This window comes from Homo sapiens, chromosome 1 (assembly GCF_000001405.40).
Source record: "Homo sapiens chromosome 1, GRCh38.p14 Primary Assembly".
Classification (NCBI taxonomy): domain Eukaryota; kingdom Metazoa; phylum Chordata; class Mammalia; order Primates; family Hominidae; genus Homo; species Homo sapiens.
Window position 1 is genome coordinate 206,717,316 of NC_000001.11, and position 17,720 is coordinate 206,735,035.

The window sequence follows — 17,720 nt, forward strand, 5'->3', positions numbered from 1 at the left end:
TATTTGCTATATATAAAGTGCACCTGGTACATAATTGATGCGGTTGAAATGAAAATTCCTCTTTCTCTTTCAGTGCCATTTGCTGGAAGAAACAGAAGAAATATCTCTGTCCCCATCTTTCAGTTTCCTACCCAAGACTCCTGTGTGGTTGACATCACTGCTGTGTGCAGTGTTCATGTCCATATAAGTCAGAAGTGGCTTGCAGCAGTGGTTTGGGGCTTTGGGGCCTCTGCTCGCTCCTTATCAATTCTTAGGGTTACATCCTCTGGGAAGATGCCAGGCCTGGTCAAGTGTGGCCTCTGACCTAGAGTTATGCAAGGCCTCTCTTCCTCCTGTGGCCAGTGTGAAATTTCTCATCTGTGCTCTCCTGCCTCTAGCAGGAAGGTTGGCCTACATTTGGGGCACATCTCTGTCACTGTCTCAGGCCAGGGGTTCAAATATAAGACCTGAATCATACTGCACCTCAGAACCCAAACCCTTTTACTTAATTTTTTTTAAAAAATTTCATTCAGATGGTAAAGGTTCAAACAATACATAGAGATATAAAACAGAAAGAAAAAAAAATACACGCCTCTCTCTAGTACCTATTCCCCAGTAGTCAACACTGCTACCTTTTTTTTGCAGGGGAGGTAAATTCCTCCAGAAAAAAACTTAAACATCTACAATTTCATATATCCTCTCCCCTCTTCCCTAAAAAACAAAACAATAACAACAAAACTATAGAAATGGGATTATGCTATATATTCTGTTCAGTACTTTTTTGTTTTTGAAAATTTAAAAAATATGCAAAAGAAGAAAATGTCATCCATATTACTACCACTTATAATTAACCACTAATTAACTTTTAGGTGTGTTTGCTTCTTGTCTTTATGAATATACTTTAAAAGCTACTTAAGTAAGGTGGAAGCAGTTCTGTTTAAAAAATTAGGATGTTGCCCGGGCGCTGTGGCTTACGCCTGTAATCCCAGCACTTTGGGAGGCCGAGGCGGGCAGATCACGAGGTCAGGAGATCGAGCCCATCCTGAATAACATGGTGAAACCCTGTCTCTACTAAAAAATACAAAAAATTAGCCAGGCATGGTGGTGGGCGCCTGTAGTCCCAGCTACTTGGGAGGCTGAGGCAGGAGAATGACGTGAACCCGGGAGGCAGAGCTTGCAGTGAGCCAAGATCATGCCACTGCAGCTCCAGCCTGGGCGACAGAGCAAGACTCCATCTCAAAAAAAAAAAAAAAAAAAAAATAGGATGTTAAAGATAAAGCCAAAGTATTATATCATCTTGGTCCTTATCTGCTTTCCCATTTAATAGCATCCTGCTCTCCCCGTCGCCGTGGATGGGGAGCTGCCTCTTTCTTCTACGACACCGCACGTTTTCCATTGTATGGATTTGCTGTCATTTCATTTATCTGACCACCCTCTTATTGGTAGGCATTTAGGTTATTACCAGTTTTTTTGCCATTAAAATGCTTTATGAATATAATGTGTAGGATGGTTTCTTGCTGGGTAATTACTGGGTCCAAGGTTTGAACATTTACAATTTTGATAGACATGGCCAAATACCTCCCCAAAAATACTAGTTTATTTCTCTACCAACTGAATGTGTAAGAGAGTGCCTTTTCTCCCCAGATCTTTGCATAAACCTGGGAGTTTTATTTTGGTCAAACATTAAAATTTTTTTTTTGCCAGTCTGGTGAAATTATCATCTTTTTTATAAACATTTCTCTTTGAGCTACACTGAGTGTCTTCCATTCAGCCATCTGTGTTTCTCTTGCTTTGAACTGCCTGTTCTTATCGTTTGGCCATTTTTATATTAGGTTGTTGATCTTCAACAATTGATTTGCCTGAGTTAAGTTAGCCTTTTATCCATCATGTGTTGGAAATATTTTAAAGATTTGTCATCTACAGTGCGATTTTTAGGCCTCTTGACTTTTTGTTGAGCCCTAGGCTTTTGTGACTGCCTGTGACAGCTCTGGAGAGGGGGCCGACAGGCACAGTGGCCCGCAGTCGAGCCAGGCCCCATCTTCTGGGCAGTGACGCGTGGTTGTTTTAAGGCTTTTGGTACTGGGATTCCCCGTTGTAAGTTTTAGCTTTGTTTTGGGTAGGGACTTTTCCCCATCATATTAATGAACATTAATAACAAATAGAGACTTGCTTTTGCCTCCCAACCAAATGTTTGGGAATGTGTGCACCCACGTGAAGGGTCTGTGTGATATCTTTATCTCATCAACCTTCTAAGGCTTTTAAAACCTGTTGTTAGATTTATGTTTAGATCATGGTTCTAGGGGAGAACCATCGTCACTCCTCATTGAGCTTTGCAGAGGCTCTGAAAGGAGGACATACTCTCTTCCCCAATCAATGTAGAGGAACGTCAGTAGTTCAGCCAAGATTGCTCTATCTGCCACCTCTTATGCTTCCAAGCTGGGCTAATTGAGAAGTGTGACATCTTGCTCCAGCCTATAAGCAGCTGTCTGTAATTTTGAGAGATGAGAAGGATTCTCCCTTAAACCATTGCTGCTTTTGTGGCAGCATCTTATTTCTTTCCTTTGCAGCACAAATCACAGTGTATAATTAAAACTATTTTCTTTGAGCTTGTTTTTGGTGTACCTCCTGCACTAAAATGTTAAGTTCTGTGGCGGTCACGGGGCTTATTTGTCATGTTCTCTATTATACCCTTGGCATCCTCTAAACCAGTGTGTGGCACATGCTAGGCACTCCGGGGTTTCACTGAGTGATCCATTCTGTTAGGATGGGATCAAGTGCTCATGTGTCTCCTCCTGTGTCCCTCTCTGGCTCCAGATCTTCCACCTGGCAGAGTTTCCGGAAGCCCCAGAGATATGCTCCATGGCCATAGGGCCTGAGACGTGGATGGCTGCCCTCTGACTAAAATTTAGAGAGCTAAGCTTGTCTCTTTAAAAAGTAACATATACTAATTGTAAATCACCTAGAAAATACAGACATAATAAAGGAAATTAAATCTGTGATTCTGTCTTTCAGAGATCATTACCATTAACAACTCATTGAGTCTTAATGCCTTTATTGTTTTTGTTTTGTTTTGTTTTGTTTTGTTTTTGAGACAGAGTCTCACTCTGTTGCCCAGGCTGGAGTGCAGGCTCACTACAACCTCCGCTTCCTGGGTTCAAGTGATTTTCCCACCTCAGCCTCCCAAGTAGCTGGGATTGCTTACAGGTGCGTGCCACCATGCCTGGCTAATTTTTTTGTATTTTTTGATAGAGACAGGCTTTCAGCATGTTGGCCAGGCTGGTCATGAACTTCTGACTTCAAGTAATCTGCCCCCCTTGGCCTCCCAAAGTGCTGGGGTTATAGATGTGAGCCACTATGGCCAGCCCCTATGCCTTTATTTTTTTTATATACAGATCCAATAAATATCCATAGAGCACTGAGTTTATGCTGTACATAAGGGTTTGTAACTTTCAGTTACCATCAGACATGTTTTGATAATGAAATTTAAAGAAAGTACACATTGGGATTTGGGATGCAGAAGAAAAAATAGGATAGTATTCTAGACAATGACAGTGATGATACCTGAGAATCTAGTAGACACTCAGGAATCCACATTTCCCCATTTAATATTCATCTGAAACACCATTTCAGTGGCTGTAGATTGTGTAGCTAAACTCACTTTTACATAAAACAACCTCTGTTACTTATCTCTGGGCCTTAAGTTTGTGATATAGTTTGGATGTTTGTTTCTCCCAAATCTCATGTTGAAGTGTAATCCCCAGTGTGGGAGGTGGGGCCTGGTGGGAGGTGTTTGGGCCATGGGGGTAGGTCCCTCGTGAATGGCTTGGTGCTGTTCTTAAGATAGTGAGTTCTTAGGAGATCTGGTTGTTTAAAAGTGGGTGGCACCCCACCCCTGTTGCTCCTGCTCTTGCCATGTGACATCCCTGCTCCCCCTTCACCTTCCACCATGATTGTAAGCTTCCTGAGGCCTCACCAAAAGCAGATACTAGTGCCAAGCTTGTACCAGCTGCAGAACTATAAGCCAGTTATATCTTTTCTTTACAGATTACCCAGTCTCAGGTATTTCTTAATAGCAATGCAAAGTAGACTAATAAGTTTGTTAGCTATTTCTAGTAAAGGTAAATAACTCTTGAGATGTATATTTTCTTAAAGATACGTCTATGATTAATACCTGAGGATGAAATTCTAAAAGTAGAATTTTAACATCAAAGGGTTTGCACTTTAAGGCATTTTCAGCCTCCATTTCTGGCTGTTGCTGTTGTGGACAGTCTTGGGCAGATTTTGAACTCTTTGCCTTACTGTGGGGTGGTGGAAAGGAGGCTTTAGGAGCAGCCAGAGCAGGGTTCAAACTCCAGCCCTGCCAGGGACAACTGGCCAAAAGGTCGTGAACTAATGACTCAGTGAGTTTTCTCATTTATAAAATAGGATGTTTCCTCCCAGGGTGGGGGTGAAGTGGGTGAGATGACCCATTTGAAGCACAGTGGACCCTTGAACAATGCAAAGGTTGGGCAGTCAATTCACATAAAACTTTTGATCTGAGTTGGGCAGATCACCTGAGATTAGGAGTTTGAGACCAGCGTGACCAACATGGAGAAACCCTGTCTCTACTAAAAATACAAAATTAGCCGGGCATGGTGGCACACGCCTGTAATCCCAGCTACTCGGGAGGCAGAGGCAGGAGAATCACTTGAACCCGGGAGGTGGAGGTTGCGGTGAGCCGAGATCGCACCATTGCACTCCAGCCTGGGTAATGAGAGTGAAACTCTATTTCAAAAAAAAAAAAAGGCCAGGCACGGTGGCTCATGCCTGTAATCCCAGCACTTTGGGAGGCCGAGGCGGGCGGATCACGAGGTCAGGAGATCGAGACCATCCTGGCTAACACGGTGAAACCCCGTCCCTACTAAAAATAGAAAAAATTAGCCAGGCGTGGTGGTGGGCACCTATGGTCCCAGCTACTCGGGAAGCTGAGGCAGGAGAATGGCGTGAACCCGGGAAGCGGAGCTTGCAGTGAGCGGAGATCGTGCCACTGCACTCCAGCCTGGGCAACAGGGCGAGACTCTGTCTCAAAAACAAAAACAAAAACAAAAAAAAACAAAGAAACAAAAGAAAACTTTTGATTCCCCTAGAACTACTATTAAATAATAGCCTACTGTTGACCCGAAGCCTTACTGATTACATAGTTGATTAACACATATTTTGTCTGTTGCGTGTATTATATCTTTATTCTTGAATAAAATAAGCTAAAGAAAATAAGCATCGTTAAGAAAATCACTTTGAGTAGGCTGAGGAAGAGGAGGAGGAAGAGGAAGGGTTGGTCTTGCTGCTGCAGGGCTGGCAGAAGTGGAAGAAAATCCCTGTATAAATGGATCCACGCAGTTCAAACCTGGGTTGTTCAAGGGCCAACAGTACTTAGCAGCCATTTAGCACAGAGCACTGCCAGCCCCCCTCGGCCTGCAGCCTGCTCCAGCACCTTGCTAAGAGGTTGCTGAGGCTCACCTGCAGCAGCTGCCCTCCCGAGTCCTCTTTCCTTTACACCCCTCAGAGCACCCGGGCCAGCCATCCTCCATGTGGTGCAGCAGAGGCGCCGGTGGTCCGGGAACCAGAGTGGGTGGCCCTGGCCTGGAGGCACGGTGGGTTAGTGTGTGACACACGTGGCTTTCCCCCGACCCCCAGCTGCCTCCTGGGAGTGAAGAGGAGGTCTTATTTGCCAACACATACCGCACCACACACCCACAACACACTTGGTGCCAGAATCAGCCTTTTGCATCGCTCTTGGCGCTGAATCAGAGTCTGTCTTGGGGAGGGATGTCTTCCTTCTCTCATTACATGCGCCCAGCTTAGGTGGTGTAGTGAGGGAGTGTACAGGGCTGGGATGCCACAGCCTGCTTTCCTCCCCGTGTCCTGGGGTCCCCCGTCTGTCCAGTGCCCAGAGCTATTAATAACACCTTCATTGAAATGGGTGTAATGGAATCCCAGTTGCCCCCCCCAGTGGGACTCCAACACATGGGGAGTGGGGAGCAGAATAATAATAGCAAACACGGATGCAGTACTTATTACGTGCCAAGCGTTATTCTTAGTTATTTACATCATGCACATCTATTAACTCATCTTGTATAGCAAGCCCATGAGGTGGGGACTATTACTGTCCTATTAATGGGTAAGGGAACCAAGGCACAAAGGGGTTGGAAACTTTTCCCAGTTCACATAGCTAGTGAGCAGTGGCGCTTGTGAAGGGGGTCCTCCTGAGGGCCTGGGGCCTGCTCCTTCCCAGTCTTGTCTTCATGTCCACCTTGCTGACGAGTGGCACATCAGGCCCTGGGTGCCGGCTGCTTTCCTGTCCTCTGGCTCAGCCAGGCTTCTAATGCTGACCACTCCTGAGTCTTTCCACGTGGCTCCACAATGGCAGACTTGCAGGAGGAGATGAGGGGAACCATGCATACCTTGAATAGGGGGAGGGGTCCTGTCCTTCTTCCCCTCAGGTGCTGGAAGAGACAGAGAGGCATGGGACTGTATTTAGGCAGCTCCCGCAGCTCCCTCACTGCCGCTGTCCTAGAGCTTCCTTCCCAGGCAATGCGCTCTGTGGCTTGGGCCCCTGCCCCTGCCACAGTTGGCAGGGGGCCTTGCCTGTGGCGTTGCAGCTGAGCACACGCAATCATTAACCTTTTCTACGTGTAAGAGAATTTCAGGCACAAACTGTGGGGCTGAGGTGAGTCACAATGTTGGACCGGGGCTTAGTTTGGGCTTAAAATATTTCACAATTCCTCCAGGCATTCTTTGACTAATGATCTATGGCTTTTTAGTGGGAAGACCCTTCCTTCTTCTAGTCTCCAGTCCTCAGAGCATGGTTCAGGGCCTGTTGGCCTTCACTGCCCATGGCCATGCCCATGCCCAAGGAGCAGGGGCCTTGGCTTCTGGGTGGACCTGCCGCCTCGCTCTGCTGGTGGCCTCTGGCAGTGCCCTAGGAGTCCTGCTTTCCTTCCCTGTCTCTTCTTTGGCTTGGAGTGCAGGCCACCTCCCCTGCTGTTCTTTACTTAGCCCTGTACTCCAGATTAGCACATTCTTGGTTTCCTCTCTCCAGGCCTTCTGCGCTCCACACTTGTCCACAGAGCCACTTTGGCACTTCAGGGCTGTGCCCCCAGGACGTCAGCCAGCCTGCCTCGCCCATCTGAAGGGCTTTCATTGCTTGGGTTGATTTTCTTATCCAGTCAGGGATTTCTGATAAACATGTGCCTGGATGGATGTCAATGACCAGTCCTTTTTTTTTTTTTTTTTGTTAAATTTAATTTAAGTTCTGGAATACAAATGCAGGATGTGCAATGACCAGTCTTCATGGGAAATTCTTGCTAAGTTTCTCTAAGAAATTTAAAATACTACCTTTTCCAATTTATTTCAGGATGGAAAGGACAGCTCACCCTCAGTCACTGGGGGAGAGAGTTTAGTAGGGAGAAGAAGCAACAGAATGAGGGGGTGTTAGCTCAGAAGTTCCTAACCACTAGGTGAGGGAAGGAAGAGGGGAGGGAGTAAACAGAAATCAAATTAGATCTTGCCCATTAGAAACTCAGTTAGGTTGGGCAGATAAGGCATAAATATGCAAAATGGTAAATTTTTTCAAAGTGGAAACTACCCTATATAGAGTTTCTGAAGCACCTTCAAGGATATTATTTCACGAAGTTGAATCTAATTTTACAGATGAGGAAACCCTTTCCAGAAAGATAGGTGGGCTTGCATGACACAAGCTAGGAAGTGCAGAACTGGGATTCAAAATGCATGCGATTGCAAAGCCTAGGTTCACTGTGCTACATCCGTCTCCTCTAATGGGTAGAGAGTTTGTGCAAGTCTGGAAGTGTGATGTGAACCTAGCCCTTCTTGCACAAACTCTCCTTTGCCTTGTGCCACGCACTCCTAACGTGTTCAGGGCAGAAAGTGCGGAAGTTGCAGTGAGCGCTTGGAATTCAGGGGGTGCTAAGGAGCATGCATTTAGATTTGGATCTTGGTGCATCCTCACTTAGCACAGCTCTGGTTGGCAGATGTCCTGGTGGTCGTCACTGGGCTGAAGACAGAAACCCAGCCTACAATCTTGGTGATAACTTGTGCTGGTTACATCCACATGCTCCAAGCTCAACTCAGTGGTGACGGAGGAACCCCCCTGTACTGTGGCATTAATGGTACTGGTTGACAGTGATGAATGCCTTTCTGATAATAAAGCACTTTTAGAGGTATTATTTCATTAGATGCTCATAATGTTTCTATGAGGGGGAGGCTAGGCAGGTATCATCGCTCCTAAATGCATGTGGCACAGGCTCTGAAAGGTAGACCTCTCTGTGAGGCTGTGCAAGAAGAAATTGACAAATTTCAGACTGGGCCAAGTCTTCCCTGATTGTAACTCTACAACCAGGCATTGCTTCTGAGTAAATCTGACAACTTTGATTCTTCTCCTCTGGGCTCCAGTTCCTGTGTGCCTGTAGGGGGCGATCGAGGTTCTTTCTGCTTGGCTGCTCTGGAAACCTTGTTCCTCCTGAACCCTTTGAATTTAGCACTCTTACAGCATGTAATCTCACTGGATTTTAAGGATTTTCTGTGTCTCCCCTCATATCTTCTTCTGCCCCCCACTAGCCTAGGCTTTTCCAGATCAGGACTGCTCTATTTGGTTTTGACATTCAGTGCAATGCATGGCCCATAGTAGGAGCTCAGTAAATGCTTGCTGGATTGAATTATATACAAAGGAAATTGGCCAGTGCCTTCTCTTGCTCCCCTTAGAGCATGGGAAAGTAAACTTTTTTCCTGGTACATCCAAATGAATGAAGTTGAAGGCTGGGCATGGTGGCTCACACCTGTAATCCCAGCACATTGGGAGGCCAAGGTGGGGTATCACTTGAGACCAGGAGTTCGAGACCAGCCTGGCCAACATGGCGAAACCCGGTCTCTACTAAAAATACCAAAAAATTAGCCAGACGTGGTGGCTCACACCTGTAATCCCAGCTACTCAGGAGGCTGAAGTGGGAGAATTGTTTGAACCCGGGAGGCGGAGGTTACAGTGAGCCAAGATTGTGCCACTGCACTCCAGCCTGGGCAACAGAGCGAGACCCTGTCTCAGAAACAAACAAACCCTAATGAAGTTGAAAGTGGCAGAACTCAAGACCCATGAGGTGTCCTCATATGGCCACAAGGTGGCAGTGTGACCTCCTGGGAACCTTGCCTCCTGCAACTATTGGCTCCGGCCACCTGTTACTCCATGGGAGAGACCGAGTTATCTAGTCATTGATTCCTTCTAGTCACCTGTTTGGGGAATTGCCTCTGCAAAGTCAGTCTGAGAAATCTTGGCTTCCAGCCTCCTCTAAAAGCTGGGTGGTGTGGTGGAAAGACTTGGTCTTTGGAGTCTACCAGGCCTGGATTCCAACCTTGGCTCTGCCTTTTCTCAGAAACTTAGCCTTGGGCATGCTACTTCTCTGAGCCTCAGCTTCCCCATCCTGTAAAATGGCAAATGTACAGTTAGGAAAAACCCAACATATCATGGGCCATAGCATAAATGTATGCCAGCATTCTTGTTGGAAATGCTCATTTGTCCTTCCCTTCCCTCTGCAAGCTGGCTCCATCATGGCCATCTGATCTTATTTGCAAGCTTCAGACACTTTCCAGCAGGTTCTTAGGCCTCCCTGCTGTATCACCCCAGCTCCACTCCATCTCGGTCAGTCAGCACCTGCTTCCCACGTTTCCCTCTGCCTTCATGCCTTCCCTCTGCCTGTCCATTTCCTTCCCAGCATGTCTCTTGGACACCCCAGCCCTCTGAATGTCCAAAGCAGTTGGAGTGTGGACTGTGTAGGGCTCATCTTGACTTCCCATGAAGATGCTAAATCTGTGAGTGTCCTTGTCTTAATTATTTTGGCACCTGCGCTTGCACTTAGACAATTGGTGATAAAAATGACAGCTATTAGTGAGTGCATGTCAGATACTCTGTGAGGTGCTTTGTGGAAATATTTCATTTAATCCTCACAACAAATCTGTGAAACAGAAGCCATTATCCATCCCCACTTTACAAAGGAAGGGTAGATCAGGATGCTTTTGGCTCCAAGCAATAGACAATTTCATGAAAAGCAGCTTAAACAGTAAGAAGAGTTTATTATCTTGTCAAAAAGAAGTACTGAGGGATCCCTGGTGATGGCAGCGAGGATCCAGGTGATTGCCATTTCTCCTGGTTGCCTTCCTCAGTGCATTGGTTTATCCTCTTAGGCCCCCCTTACTGGTAATAATGTGACTGTCATGGTCCCAGGTGCCATATGCAGGAGAGATGATGTACATTTCTTGTGCTCCCTTTAAGAAGCCTCTTAGCAGATTTCTTTTTTTTTTGAGATGGAGTCTCGCTCTGTTGCCCAGGCTGGAGTGCAGTGGCGTGATCTCGGCTCGCTGCAAGCTCCACCTCTCAGGGTTCACGCCATTCTCCTGCCTCAGCCTCCTGAGTAGCTGGGGCTACAGTCGCCTGCCACCATGCCTGGCTAATTTTTTTTGTATTGTTAGTAGGGACGGGGTTTCACCGTGTTAGCCAGGATGGTCTTGATCTCCTGACCTCGTGATCTGCCTGCCTCGGCCTCCCAAAGTGCTGGGATTACAGGCACGAGCCACCGTGCCCGGCAGCAGATTTCTTACAAGGCTCTTGGCCAGTTGAGTTGTAGGCTTGTTCCCAAGCCAGTCACTAGCAAAGGGACTGGAATTAATGAGACTGGCTTAGACAGGTCAAGATTGAACCCCTGAGGCTGGTGAGAAGCCAGCCTCCTTTAATACCCCTAGCCAATTGGTCCAGGGAGAAGAAGGGGCATCAGTGAGGTTCGACGAGTTAAGTAACTTGCTCAAGCTTGGAAATCTAGTAATAACTGGATTCATACTGGCATCCGGCTGACTTCCAAGGCCATCTGTTGCCAGGTTGAAGTCAACTACAGAGGTAGAGAGAATATTGCTCTGGATTTGTTGTGCTGGGTCTGAGTAATTGCTGAGGGGCCTTTTCCTATGGACTCTGGAGTCTCTCTTCTCTCTAGCCCCCTTTCCAATACTGTATTGGTTTTTCTCAGTCTGCCTTTCTCCCCGAAGCCCCTTCACCCCCTGCTTCCCAGTACCTGAGTGCTGCCTGCCTTCCACAGTAGACTTTATGGCCTAAGCTGGAGACAGGTCTAAGCTGGACCGAATGGCCTGAGGGCTGATCTCAGTGTAGCTGTCAAGGCCCCAAGAGAGTCATCATGAGATTTCATATAGAGCAGATAAGGAACTGCAGAGGCCTCAGGAAATGTGCCAAGGGGGCTGGTGGGGGGGGCCAGCAGGAGTGGGGGGTTTGTGGTATGTCGGTGGCGATGTCAGGGCATGTGGGCCAGGGGCTTAGAGCAGGCCCATGTGACAGCGCAGTTACTCAGAAAGCTGTTTGGCCTGCAGATGCTTCAGGACTGCCCCAAGGCCCGCAGGGAGGTGGAGCTGCACTGGCGGGCCTCCCAGTGCCCGCACATCGTACGGATCGTGGATGTGTACGAGAATCTGTACGCAGGGAGGAAGTGCCTGCTGATTGTCATGGAATGGTAAGCAGCCACTGTTCTAGTCCCGGCCCAGCCTGTTCCCACTCCTCACTCAGGCACCTTACCCTCTGAGGACAGCCCAGGGATGGGCCTGAAGCCTGGAATGTAAACACTTGATTTTTTGGGGGGCAGTGGAGAGTGGCGGCGGGCTGTTGTGTTCTCTGGATCTCACTGTGGCTTCATTTCAGTTTGGACGGTGGAGAACTCTTTAGCCGAATCCAGGATCGAGGAGACCAGGCATTCACAGAAAGAGGTAGAAAGGGTCTGTTGTGGGAGCACGTGCAGGCAGGCAGGGCAGTGGGGGTCTGAAGGGGGCCTTTGCAGTGCCTGCTCTTGGGGAAGGGTGCTGAGGCTGCTGCCCCCTCCAGCATGCTGCAAGGGGTGCCTCAGCTGACCAGGGAAGCTCCTGGTGGCTTTGTTTCTGGGGTGGGTGGTGGCTGTGGGGAGCCTCAGGCTGCACAGAGGTGGGACCCGGTGCACTGGGTTTTCAAGCCTAATGATGTGTCTTTGTGACTTTCTTTCCCACTCACTCTTCCCTCCCCTCTACAGAAGCATCCGAAATCATGAAGAGCATCGGTGAGGCCATCCAGTATCTGCATTCAATCAACATTGCCCATCGGGATGTCAAGGTGCCAGCTGTTCATAACCCTGAGCCCGAGTGCTGTGGGGGGCAACAAAGGGGCTGTGGCCACCCCAGAGATGGTTGCCAGGCCACCCTGCGTCCTTGCTGCCTGGTTCCTGAGCATGCCATTCTCTGCCTTGTAGGGCCTTGCCCTCTCTGCCCATGGGCAAACCCCTAAACCCAGTAGTGAAGCATTCTCTGGCCCCACTCAGCCCTGTGGTTCTCCTCAGGCAGAACCCCTCAGTCACACTCTTGGTTTCTCTGTTCCTGTGGTGTTTACTGCGGGTTCTGTGTGTCAGTCTGTTATCTCCAGGCACTCTGGAAACCCTGCAGAGGCAGGCACCTGCCCATAGAGAGCTGCCACTCCTCGTGGTGGGCAGTGCCCAGGATAGGCAAATGGTTGCTGGATGAGTAGAGGAAGGGAGGAACCAGGATCCTTTTCGTTTCTGATAGCCCCTCCCAGGTCCAGCAGGGTTGCTATTTTTCTGTCTCTCTTTCTGTAGCCTGAGAATCTCTTATACACCTCCAAAAGGCCCAACGCCATCCTGAAACTCACTGACTTTGGCTTTGCCAAGGAAACCACCAGCCACAACTCTTTGACCACTCCTTGTTATACACCGTACTATGTGGGTAAGTCCACAGGGGGCCCAGGGACCTAGGCTTTTCCCAGAACTTTTCTCAGCCCCTCCTCTTGGCTATCTGGGGGGCCGCAAATCCTAGGAGAGTTGTGTCTGTATGGCCCCTTCTGGTGCTGGTTCTGCTGGGACCTGCTGAGAAGTAGGGCTTGTCAGAGCGAAGCTACAGTTGAGAAATTGTAGGAAAGGATCTGCTGGGATCTTTCTGAGAAGAGCCATGGTTTCCATCAGATTCTCCATGGAGTCTGGACCCAGGTCTTGTTCTGGAGCCACAGCTGATTGGCATGGAAGAAGCTTTCAAAGCATGTTCAGAGCATCTGTGAAATTAAATGAACGGCATGGGCCTGAAAGTCTCATGCAGTTCAGGATTTTTAGAATCTTAAGCTCCTAGTTCCAGGTTCCTCATGGAGGAGGATGTTCTGTTCCAGTCCCTGGGCTGGGCTTTGGCTCTTCCTTCTGTGCCCCAACTGCTGCCACCTCATGATAGGCTGAAAGGTTGGGATGGGGAGCATCTTTCACAGAGAAACTGAGTGGATCACAGGGTTCTGAGGGCCGGCCCACCCATGTTGACCTTTGATTTGCAGCTCCAGAAGTGCTGGGTCCAGAGAAGTATGACAAGTCCTGTGACATGTGGTCCCTGGGTGTCATCATGTACATCCTGTGAGTGTGCTGGGGAGGGGGCTGGGTGGGGCAGGGAGTCAGGGCGGCCTGTACTTCTCCAGGACAAGAGGAAGAGGCAGACGTTAGCATTCCCCTTTGTACAGGGGAGTCCCCTGCGTGCCCCTTCTCTCAGTTCCGATAGCTAAGTGGCGGGTGTAAACCAGCTCATGGGCTGGAAAGTGTGCGCCTTAGATACTTGCTATGCTGGATTCCCGGGCCCCGGGCTTGACTTTGTATATTGTGCCTGTGTCAATAAGCCCTGATTTCTCTGTGACCTTTACAAGGAGAAGAGCCTGTTTCTCATCCTGTTCCTGGTACAGGGCCACTAAGTGACAGCTGTTCTGTCTCCCACTTCCTTCCTCCTGTTGATGCAGGCTGTGTGGGTATCCCCCCTTCTACTCCAACCACGGCCTTGCCATCTCTCCGGGCATGAAGACTCGCATCCGAATGGGCCAGTATGAATTTCCCAACCCAGAATGGTCAGAAGTATCAGAGGAAGGTAAGAACCCAGGCTTTCAGGACAAGGGGAAGAGCCCGTGTGTGTGTGTGTGTGTGTATGTGTGTACACGCAGACACATGTATGGGCCTCCATCTCATGTGCGTGGTGTAACTGTGGGTTAGCACCTATGCCCACGCCTGCGGGGTGCGTCCTGCTTCATTTTGCCTGTGTGGAGGGCTGGAGGCAGGGCCAAGGCTGTGGGGCTGTGCAGGGCCTCTCAAGTGGTACAGCCGTAATGGTCCTTGGGGCCAGTTGCTCCGGCAGCCTGCCTCCATGCACCCCCTCTTTGAACCTGGTTTCCCCATGAAAACTGGGGAAAGGAGCAGGCCAGGGAGAGTGACCCCTGAGCTGTCACTGCCCCCTGTCCCACCCCACAGTGAAGATGCTCATTCGGAATCTGCTGAAAACAGAGCCCACCCAGAGAATGACCATCACCGAGTTTATGAACCACCCTTGGATCATGGTAAGCTCGGCAGGCTGGGGAGCCTTGGGTCTCACGGGACTATTCCACAGGACAGAGTCTTAGCCAGGACCCTACCCCAGGCTTTCACTCGGACCCCTTTTCTCTCTTCTCAGCAATCAACAAAGGTCCCTCAAACCCCACTGCACACCAGCCGGGTCCTGAAGGAGGACAAGGAGCGGTGGGAGGATGTCAAGGTGAGGGGCACCACTGGGTGAGAGGGGCTCCAGGTGGGGTGGGCGGCTTGCGGGGAGTGCCCAGGTGTGAGGCGTGGTGCTGGTAGGGGAGAGCTTGATTCTGCCTCTCTCATCCCAGGGGTGTCTTCATGACAAGAACAGCGACCAGGCCACTTGGCTGACCAGGTTGTGAGCAGAGGATTCTGTGTTCCTGTCCAAACTCAGTGCTGTTTCTTAGAATCCTTTTATTCCCTGGGTCTCTAATGGGACCTTAAAGACCATCTGGTATCATCTTCTCATTTTGCAGAAGAGAAACTGAGGCCCAGAGGCGGAGGGCAGTCTGCTCAAGGTCACGCAGCTGGTGACTGGTTGGGGCAGACCGGACCCAGGTTTCCTGACTCCTGGCCCAAGTCTCTTCCTCCTATCCTGCGGGATCACTGGGGGGCTCTCAGGGAACAGCAGCAGTGCCATAGCCAGGCTCTCTGCTGCCCAGCGCTGGGGTGAGGCTGCCGTTGTCAGCGTGGACCACTAACCAGCCCGTCTTCTCTCTCTGCTCCCACCCCTGCCGCCCTCACCCTGCCCTTGTTGTCTCTGTCTCTCACGTCTCTCTTCTGCTGTCTCTCCTACCTGTCTTCTGGCTCTCTCTGTACCCTTCCTGGTGCTGCCGTGCCCCCAGGAGGAGATGACCAGTGCCTTGGCCACAATGCGCGTTGACTACGAGCAGATCAAGATAAAAAAGATTGAAGATGCATCCAACCCTCTGCTGCTGAAGAGGCGGAAGAAAGCTCGGGCCCTGGAGGCTGCGGCTCTGGCCCACTGAGCCACCGCGCCCTCCTGCCCACGGGAGGACAAGCAATAACTCTCTACAGGAATATATTTTTTAAACGAAGAGACAGAACTGTCCACATCTGCCTCCTCTCCTCCTCAGCTGCATGGAGCCTGGAACTGCATCAGTGACTGAATTCTGCCTTGGTTCTGGCCACCCCAGAGTGGGAGAGGCTGGGAGGTTGGGAGGCTGTGGAGAGAAGTGAGCAAGGTGCTCTTGAACCTGTGCTCATTTTGCAATTTTATCAGTAATTTGACTTAGAGTTTTTACGAAACCTCTTTTGTTGTCCTTGCCCCACTCCTCTCCACCAGACGCCTTCCTCTCTGGATACTGCAAAGGCTTGTGGTTTGTTAGAGGGTATTTGTGGAAACTGTCATAGGGATTGTCCCTGTGTTGTCCCATCTGCCCTCCCTGTTTCTCCACAACAGCCTGGGGTTGTCCCCGCTGGCTCACGCGTTCTGGGAGCTCAAGGCCACCTTGGAGGAGGATGCCACGCACTTCCTCTCTCGGAGCCCTCAGACATCTCCAGTGTGCCAGACAAATAGGAGTGAGTGTATGTGTGTGTGTGTGTGTGTGTGTGTGCACACGTGTGTATGAGTGCGCAGATCTGTGCCTGGGATCGTGCATTTGAGGGGCCAGGGGCAGGCAGGGCTGCAGAGGGAGACGGCCCTGCTGGGGCTTAGGAACCTTCTCCCTTCTTGGGTCTGCCCTGCCCATACTGAGCCTGCCAAAGTGCCTGGGAAGCCCACCCAGATTCTGAAACAGGCCCTCTGTGGCCTGTCTCTATTAGCTGGGTTCCGGGAGGCAGAGAGGAGTGACCGGGCACTGGCACTGCGATCAGGAAGACTGGACCCCCAGCCCCCAGGGCCCCCCTCCCCCCACTTAGTGCTGGTCCTAGGTCCTCTGAGGCACTCATCTACTGAATGACCTCTCTACTTCCCCTTCTTGCCATTATTAACCCATTTTTGTTTATTTTCCTTAAATTTTTAGCCATTTCTCCATGGGCCACCGCCCAGCTCATGTAGGTGAGCCTGGGCAGCTTCTGTTGGCAGAGCTTTTGCATTTCCTGTGTTTGTCCTGGGTTCTGGGGCATCAGCCAGCTACCCCTTGTGGGCAAAGGCAGGGCCACTTTTGAAGTCTTCCCTCAGATTTCCATTGTGTGGCCTGGTGGGTCAGGGGGAGTCTTTGCACCAAAGATGTCCTGACTTTGCCCCCTTGCCCATCAGCCATTTGCCATCACCCCAAACAACTCAGCTTCGGGGCCGGTGAGGGGAGGGGCCTCCCCCAGCACAGATGAGGAGCAGCTGGGGTAGGCTGTCTGTGCCATGGCCCCCCACTCCCCCTTCCCTTGGAGGGAGAGGTGGCAGGAATACTTCACCTTTCCTCTCCCTCAGGGGCAGGTGGTGGAGGGGCGCCCAGGGTCGTCTTTGTGTATGGGGGAAGGCGCTGGGTGCCTGCAGCGCCTCCCTTGTCTCAGATGGTGTGTCCAGCACTCGATTGTTGTAAACTGTTGTTTTGTATGAGCGAAATTGTCTTTACTAAACAGATTTAATAGTTGAGAGTTTTTCTTTCTCTTTCTTCCTGGGGCTCAGGCCTTACCCCCCACCGCCTCTATGTGCAGAGGGGTTTTGTTGGGTGGTGAGGGTGTGGGTTGGGGGTCCTGGGAGAGGAGCGGAGGGCCTCCTGGGCGAGCAGGAGCCAGCACCTCATTGGTGAGGACCTGGGCAGGATGTGTGTAGGGCATCCTTAAAGCAGGACAGGGAGGCTGCAAGGGCTCAAGCCCATCTTCTTTTGCCAAATGCAGAATCAGGAGCCAAGCTCTTTTTGGCATATGATTCTTTGACCTACATAGCCACCACCAGGTGCTGGCACCTTTAGCCTGCGAAAGCCAGCTGGTATAGGGTCCAGGGAAGAGGGGGTGCTGGTGAATTTGGTTGAAATCCTGGTAAAGATACCAGGGGAGCAGGTTAGTGTAGTACCGGCACTCTCCAGGAGGCGGTGATAGGGGTCAGGCAGAAACCAAAGGCTCTACCTCGGAGCTAGAAGAGACTTCATGGTTCCTGTGGCCCATTCTCAGTGCACAGATGAGAAGACTGAAGCCCAGAGCTGGGGCCACATGATGACTTGACCCGCAGCAGAGCCTAAAGTAGAAACTGGGCTACCTGCCCCATTGCAGTCCCTCCGGGTCAGATGGGAAAATAGCACATCCTTCACTGTGTCACCCGCATTTTCTTATGTGACCCTCAGAGCTGCCAGCAAGAGACAGTACAGGGCGGCTGCTGATTGCTGTTTTATGTGTGAGGAAAGTGAC

At 50.1% G+C, this 17,720-nt stretch overlaps 1 protein-coding gene across 5 annotated transcripts in view, besides 2 other annotated features; it reads left to right on the forward strand.

Moving 5' to 3' along the window:
- Positions 1–16,966, forward strand: part of MAPKAPK2 (MAPK activated protein kinase 2) — a 49,377-nt gene extending 32,411 nt beyond the window's left edge. For 2 of the 5 annotated variants that reach the window (XM_005273353.4, XM_047434418.1), the window contains exons 2-11: positions 11,395–11,534; positions 11,720–11,784; positions 12,081–12,160; positions 12,657–12,783; positions 13,373–13,448; positions 13,823–13,947; positions 14,325–14,410; positions 14,524–14,604; positions 14,723–14,769; positions 15,260–16,966. In XM_005273353.4, the coding sequence (XP_005273410.1) occupies positions 11,395–11,534; positions 11,720–11,784; positions 12,081–12,160; positions 12,657–12,783; positions 13,373–13,448; positions 13,823–13,947; positions 14,325–14,410; positions 14,524–14,604; positions 14,723–14,769; positions 15,260–15,269 (837 nt within the window). In that variant the 3' untranslated portion in view covers positions 15,270–16,966. Of the gene's footprint in view, positions 1–11,394; positions 11,535–11,719; positions 11,785–12,080; positions 12,161–12,656; positions 12,784–13,372; positions 13,449–13,822; positions 13,948–14,324; positions 14,411–14,523; positions 14,605–14,722 lie in introns of all 5 variants that reach the window. The other 3 variants (NM_032960.4, XM_017002810.2, NM_004759.5) reach the window with 2 other exon arrangements.
- Positions 5,113–5,826: an enhancer, noted in NCBI's record as "H3K4me1 hESC enhancer chr1:206895773-206896486 (GRCh37/hg19 assembly coordinates)". NCBI's record gives its function as "activates a minimal SCP1, AML or CMV promoter by ChIP-STARR-seq in naive H9 embryonic stem cells {active_cell/tissue: H9 hESC(naive)}" and the evidence as "EXISTENCE:reporter gene assay evidence [ECO:0000049][PMID:30033119]".
- Positions 17,312–17,501: an enhancer, noted in NCBI's record as "active region_2413". NCBI's record gives its function as "activates an Ori minimal core promoter by ATAC-STARR-seq in GM12878 lymphoblastoid cells {active_cell/tissue: GM12878}" and the evidence as "EXISTENCE:reporter gene assay evidence [ECO:0000049][PMID:35858748]".